This window comes from Homo sapiens, chromosome 16 (assembly GCF_000001405.40).
Source record: "Homo sapiens chromosome 16, GRCh38.p14 Primary Assembly".
Taxonomy (NCBI): domain Eukaryota; kingdom Metazoa; phylum Chordata; class Mammalia; order Primates; family Hominidae; genus Homo; species Homo sapiens.
The window spans coordinates 7,764,004-7,771,107 of record NC_000016.10 but is presented as its reverse complement, the minus strand read 5'-3'; the positions used below and the strand labels follow the sequence as shown (position 1 = coordinate 7,771,107).

At 42.5% G+C, this 7,104-nt stretch overlaps 3 annotated features.

The window, feature by feature from the left end:
• Window positions 414–1,613: an enhancer, noted in NCBI's record as "CDK7 strongly-dependent group 2 enhancer chr16:7819497-7820696 (GRCh37/hg19 assembly coordinates)". NCBI's record gives its function as "activates an origin of replication core promoter dependent on BRD2, BRD4, P300/CBP, MED14 and CDK7 cofactors, with strong dependence on CDK7, by STARR-seq in HCT116 cells {active_cell/tissue: HCT116}" and the evidence as "EXISTENCE:reporter gene assay evidence [ECO:0000049][PMID:35650434]".
• Window positions 5,145–5,866: an enhancer, noted in NCBI's record as "OCT4-NANOG-H3K27ac hESC enhancer chr16:7815244-7815965 (GRCh37/hg19 assembly coordinates)". NCBI's record gives its function as "activates a minimal SCP1, AML or CMV promoter by ChIP-STARR-seq in naive H9 embryonic stem cells {active_cell/tissue: H9 hESC(naive)}" and the evidence as "EXISTENCE:reporter gene assay evidence [ECO:0000049][PMID:30033119]".
• Window positions 5,867–6,589: an enhancer, noted in NCBI's record as "OCT4-NANOG-H3K27ac hESC enhancer chr16:7814521-7815243 (GRCh37/hg19 assembly coordinates)". NCBI's record gives its function as "activates a minimal SCP1, AML or CMV promoter by ChIP-STARR-seq in naive H9 embryonic stem cells {active_cell/tissue: H9 hESC(naive)}" and the evidence as "EXISTENCE:reporter gene assay evidence [ECO:0000049][PMID:30033119]".

Here is a 7,104-nt window from a genome sequence, read left to right as displayed (position 1 = left end):
TGTTAGGCTTGGTTTGCACTCCCTCTGGCCTTTGCTGCTCTCCAGGTCTACCTCTTATTCTTGCCCAACCCACCTTTGGTTCAAGCCATTATCTGCCAGGTCATTAGTTACCCAGACCAGGTGTTGCTGGTACCAACACCTCTGAGCCTCCACACTTGCTGTTCCCTCGCCTGGAATCATCTCTCTCTTTTTGTCTGGAGAATTGTAGTCATGCTTCAAGTGTTATCAGCTTGGATGTCACCCCTCTGGGAAACCTTCTTGGATGTCACTTTCTTCTGCTCTGGGTTGTGAATCTTCCTATTCCACATGGTTATCTCCTCAACTCTCAATTCCATCTTCATATGATGCCTCTTATGCCTCTGCAGAGCCTGGCGTGAAGCGAGTGTGCAGCTCATTCTTGATAGAAAAAGAAAGGATGACTGCTTGCTGCTCATGAGGCCAGCATTCATATTTGGAGCCAAGGTAGGAGCAACCCCCTTCATTCTAATTCTAATGATAAAGATGGGAATGATGGGCCGGGCATGTGGCTCACGCCAGTAATCCCAGTACTTAGGGAAGCCGAGGTGGGCAAATCACCTGAGGTCAAGGGTTCGAGACCGGCTTGGCCAACATGGTGAAACCCCGTCTCTACTAAAACTACAAAAATTAGCTGGGCATGGTGGCGCATACCTGTAATCCTAGGTACTCGGGAGGCTGAGGCAGGAGAATTGCTTGAACCCAGGAGGCGAAGGTTGTAGTGAGCTTAGATAGTGCCACTGCACTCCAGCCTGGGCAACAGAGTGACACCCCATCTCAAAAAAACAAACAAACAAACAAATGAGGCAATGATGATTCATCACTTACATACCACCTTTGATGCCACCAGTCTGTACAGTACGAACCCACTTAACCTCCAAAATGCTCTTATTAGGTGGATATTAATTTCCCTTTTTACATATGAGCAAAAGACTCAATTTTTTTTTCAAACATGTTCACAGTCAGCCAACTGGTGCATGAACATAGGTACTTAGTTCTCAAGCTTACAAATTAGCCATTGTCAGGGCTCAGAACATGATACCCCAAAGTATGGCGCCTTGGTATGCTGTGTACTTTGAGCTGAAGGAGATTGCAAGGGCCTCAGAAACAAGGTCTTTCTGACCTTTTCTCATCCTCCTGTCTCTTGCCTCTCTTTCTCCCCAGAAGGGAGTCATAGAAGCCAGAATTCCCCTTCTCCAAGGTGAGTCACGGCAACTAGAGCTCCTCTTCCCCAAAGCAAGCCAATAAAACCTAGAAAGGTCACTCTCTGACCTTCTCCCTTCTCCCTTGAAAACCCTCCTGTGACAGGCATCCTGTACTATACCCAGAGGAAAGGAATGCCACATCGGGGCCAGGAAGAATCAGAATAGACAGACCTTGCTGGGTCCCCTCCACCTCAGTCTACTGCCAGTAGATCAAACACATTTTATCCAATCACATTTCTACACGGTGGCCTATTCCTCAGCAAATCTAAGCATAAAGTTAGACAGTTTCCCTTGGGTCTTCATTTCTGACCGTTCCCATGTCACATAAAACTGTGTTTTTAAAAAAAAAAACAAACTTTTTTTTTTTTTTTTTTTTTTTTTTTGTGATGGAGTCGCGCTCTGTCCCCCAGGTGTGATCTCGGCCCACTGCAACCTCTGCCTTCCAAGTTCAAGTGATTCTCTTGCCTCAGCCTCCCGAGTAGCTGGGATTACAGGTGCCCACCACCACGCCAGGCTAATTTTTGTATTTTTAGTAGAGACAGTGTTTCGCCATGTTGGCCAGGCTGGTCTCAAACTCCTGATGTCATGATCCACCCACCTCAGCTTCCCAAAGTGTTGGGATTACAGGTGTGAGCCACCGCTCCTGGCCTTGTTACACTTTTTTATTGTTAACCTGTCCTTTGTTACAGGAGTGTCTTTTGTTATAGCTGTGATGATTGTGACAGGTGATTGAAAGGGTGTTACACCTTTCTCCCCACACATCGCCTTGCTGTACTTCCTTTGAGTACCCCAGGTTAAAATGCCAGACCCCACTGTGAACTGGATTTGCGGGTTCTGTGTACCCCAGAGGTAGGTGGGTCCCCAAATCTGCCCTTTCTATGATGATGACAGTAGTTACAGCTAGGAGAATCGTTTATACATTTTATATATACAATCTCTAAGTACGTATGTATATATTTATATTTTATGTATGTATAAAGTATATTTTATTAATGGACTATATAAAACATTTTATCAAACATAAACATATAAACATGTTTATATACATTTTAGGGACAAGGTCTCACTGTCACCCAGGCTGAAGTACAGTGATGGGGTCATAGCTCACTGCAACCTCAAATTCCTGGGCTCAAGTAATCTATCCACTTTAGCCTCCTGAGAAGCTGGGACTACAGGCATGCACCACCACGCCCTCATAATTTTTAAATTTTTTATAGAGATGAGGTCTTGTGATGTCTTAAACTCTTGTACTCAAGTGATCCTCCTGCCTTAGCATCCCAAAGTGCTGGGATTACAAGCATGAGCCACCCCACCCACCCTGTTTACACATGTTTTAAAGCACATTAATTATTTTTCAATCTATCAAATTGATGTGGCTAAAATTACAAACTGTTTACAAGCAATCAAGGATTGAAAATATGAAATAACAGAAATGAAACTTTTTTTTTTTTTTGAGTCGGAGTCTCACTCTGTCTCCCAGGCTGAAGTGCAGTGGTGCGATCTTGGCTCACTGCAACCTCCACCTCCCAGATTCAAGAAATTCTTCTGCTTCAGTCTCTGGAGTAGCTGGGATTACAGGCTAATTTTTCTATTTTTAGTAGATACAGGGTTTCACCATGTTGGCCAGGCTGGTCTCAAACTTCTGACCTCAGGTGATCCGCCCACCTCGGCCCCCCAAAGTGCTGGGATTACAGGTGTGAGCCACCGCTCCCAGCCTAGAAATGAAACATTTTAAACCAAGTTTATTTTTTTCTGATTCTGTTTCAGAATATAGGAGACTTGCACTATAGAATATGTACATAGAAAAGAATGTAGGAAATTTGGAAAACCAAGGACAAATCAAAACAAAACAATCATCTTTACTCCTACCACCCAGGAAAAACAAACAAACAAACACAGTTTTCATCATTTCCCATTTGTTTTAATTTCATTGAAAGTGAAATTAGTATAATAGCATAGGGGTTAAAGGCTCAGATTCTGGAATTGAACGGGCCTGAATTTGCTACTCAGTTCCACCACACGCTGAGTGTTTGATCTCGGGCCAGTTATTTAACTTTCTGAAATTTTGGGGAAATTACACCTACCTCCCAGGGCTGTTGTAAATTATATGCTGGGGCACACATACAGTGCTTAACAGAGTTTCTGGCATGTCATAAGGATTCAATCACTGGTGGCTATTATTTTTAATGAGAGTGCTATTATTTTTATTTTACTGTGACCATTTTCCCCATGTTATTCAATATTCTTTAAAAACCTAACTTTCTGGCTGCCTAGCCTCTCTTATTGATATGCCATAATTTATTTAGCCAGTTCCCTAATTAGGTCATAGATCCTTTTGATCTCCAACAAATAAAATAACATTGCAATTTCCATATTACTCTTAAGACAGCTTAATGTTGATGTTAATATCCTTTGAATTTCTGCATTATTATCTGAGCCTGGAATATCCCCACCCAACGTCGTGCCGTATGTCCTGGTGGGAAAAGACAAGCTACTCAAACCACCTCGTTTCTCCAAACACAAATTCTCCAATGTTAACAAACACCAACGATCTCTTTCTAAGCAGAAACCTTGGTGTTTGCCCACTCGGCAGTCCTTCGTGAGCATGGGGGTAATTTGTAGTTTGAACGATTGAGACAAACGCTTGGCATGAGACAGAAAGAAGTAGGATGCATCTGTAATTGGAATATTTTGTCTCATTTATTCTTGATAATGTGCCATATTCCACTCCATCAGCCAGAGGTGATTGCTCACAGAATGTCTTACACCTGGTATTGGTGCTTATGAAAACCAGATGTGGTTCACTGTTTAAAGCTGTTTCAAAGAAAGGGGGAGGACATCTCCCTCTAATGCTCCCCACTCCCTTTCTCACTCTCTATTTTTTCCTACAATTTTTTTTCCCTCCCTGGGGCTCTAGTTACACTTTTCGAGTCCAGGGATGCTGGCCCATTTTTTGCCAAGTCTCAGGGTAACGTATTTGAAGATCCCTGCAGGTAGTGTTGAGGAGGGGGTAAGATGGGGAGAAGGCAGGGAAGCCCAGAGTGAGAGCAGGCACTAATCTCTCTGTGGTCAAGGGGTTGCAAATCAAGGAAGCTGCTCTGTTCTTTCTAATTTACAAAACTACAGTTTTTGTCTAAGCACCTTTGCTTGTCTGGGCCCATGCAGGTTTAAAAGGAAGCAAAGGAGAGCATGGGGTGGCTTCCCTAGAGAGCGCTGTCAAAATGAAATACTCCAATTTAGACATTTATTTGAACCAACTGAACAACCTGTTAAAAACACACATTCCTAGTCCCCAACCAGATACTCTCGCGTCAGAATTTCCAGGGGAAGTGTTTGGGTATCTGCCTTTTTAACAAGGCTCCTTGATGTTCCTGATAGGGTGAAATTAAGAAACATTCCCAGGGAGCAGTGCAGCTCAATCTTTAATGTGCATCACCTGGGGACCTTTAAAGGCAAATTCTGATCCTATAGGTTTGGGTCTGACCTGAGACGCTGCTTTTGAGAAAATTTCCCAGGTGATGGTGGTGCAGCTGTCCATGCACCACACTTAGAGTAGCATGGGTGAAGAGCAGGGGTCAATAAACTTCACCCACTGCTTGTTTTTGTACTGACTTAAGAATGGTTAAAAAAATAAATTCAGGCTGGACGCGGTGGCTCAACGCCTGTAATCCCAGCACTTTGGGAGGCCGGGGTGGGTGGATCACCTAAGGTCAGGGGTTCAAGACCAACCTGGCCAACGTGGCAAAACCCTGACTCTACTAAAAACACAAAAATTAGCTGGGAGTGGTGGCAGGTGCTTGTAATTCCAGCTACTTGGGAGGTTGAGGCAGGAGAATCGCTTGAACCTGGGAGGCAGATGTTGCCGTGAGCCAAGATCGCGCCACTGCACTCCAGTCTGGGGAACAAAGCGAGACTCCATCTAAAAAAAAAAAAAAATCAAAAGAAGAAAAATATTTCATTATGCATAAACATTTTATTAAATTTAAGTGCCAGCGTCTGTATAGGAAGTTTAATTGGCATCCATTTGTCTGCATATTGCCTGTGCCACTACGTGGTAGAGTTGTGTCGTTGTGATAGAGAATCATGACCCCAAAAGCCTAATATATTTGCTTTCTGGCTCTTGATAGAAAATGTTTGCCAATCCCTGCTCTAGATCCGGAAGTAAAAAAAACAGAGGTGTTTTTTTTAAGGAAATGTATTACTCAGTACAGCTGGAATGTGAGAGATAAGACCGACCATCCCGTATGTTGACTTTGAATATCAGTAATCATTTAGAAAATTAATATTACAATAAAACAGGAATGAACTCCGCCAAGAAAAAAAAATTCTCCCAGTCTTTATTCTTCCCATCCTCTCCCTCCTGACCCCAATTTCTGACTTTGAATGGCCATATATTTGCATAATGGCTTTCTTTTGTTCATTTTTATTGCCGACTAATTGAATTAGAATGGCTAAAAAAAAAAATACCTTCAGCCTCAGACCCTGTTACAAACTCCTATAAATAAGGGTACAGGTGAAAAAGGTGAAGAGTGTGTTTTTCATTATTAGGCAGATGTAATGTAGAATCGTGGCTTTTGTCTTTGTTTTGGATTTGTTTTGTTCTTTAGATTTAGCTTATGGACATTAAGGTAGTCAGTTGATAGAATTTGGATAAATGAGTCTTTTCAGAGAAAAGAGTCAAAATTCAGCCTGGGCCAGCACTGCCGTGGCTCACACCTGTGATTCCAGTACTTTGGGAGGCTAAGGCAGGGGGTTTGTTTGAGGCTAAGAGTTACTAACACAGCATGTTAGTAACATAGCATGTCTCTATTACCCCATTCTACCTCTCTTTAGCCTATGACCATATGCTTTGTGAGTTGGGTGGAGGTGCCTCAGAAAGTTTCATGAGTTCGAACATACAGAATCTTTTAGAAGACTTCTCATTGAGAAAACCTGGAGAAGGGTTTTCTGCCAGTAAATTGATTTCTACTTAATTGGTTGCCACAGGATCTTAGTGAGGAAGTTTAAAGACACATGCAGGTGGAGGAGTTTAAGCTTTACCTAAATGCAGTAAGTAAATGGCATACGTTTACAATGCAGAGAATACAGTGATCCAACTTTCCCTGGCAAGTTTTGACTCTTGCCTCCTGGGCCAATGAAAGGATGCTTGGAATTGGAAGGAAATTGGGGCATCTTTAATTTATGTGACTTGTCATAGGTAAAGGGCATATTTTCTTGTGTAAGAGATTTAATTTCCTCAGTACAAAGGATTATATCTTATATTGGTTTAACTCCACTCATGTTCAATGTCATGCCAGAGCTCAAACACTGGCACGGCCAACATCCTTGCCTACAATTCTGCTCCGCTCTCTCCGGCTCTTCCTCACTCTTGAAACCGCCATTGCAAAATTTTAACTGACACCATGTTGATGAAGAGTCAAACTGTAAGATATTTGAAGAGATTTATTCTGAGCCAAATATGAGTGACCATGGCCCGTGACACTGCCCTCAGGAGGTCCTGAGAACATGTGCCCAAGGTGGTTGGGGTGCAGCTTGGTTTGATGTATTTCAGGATGCATGAAACATCAAATACATGTAAGAAATACATTGGTTTGCTTTAGAAAGGTGGGACAATTCAGAGTGGGAGCTTCCAGGCTATAGGTAAATTTAAACATTTTCTGGTTGACAATTGGTTGAGGTTATCTGAACATGTGGGATTGATAGGAATGTTCAGGTTAAAGATAAAGGATTGTGGAAACCAAGTTTTATTGTGCAGAGGAAGCTCTTAGATAGATGACTTTAGAGAGAGCAGGTTGTAAAATGTTTCTTATGGGACCTGGGACCTAAAAAGGTACCTGGTTCTTAGTTGATTATCTTCTGGATCTGGGAAGGAAGGAAGGAAAAG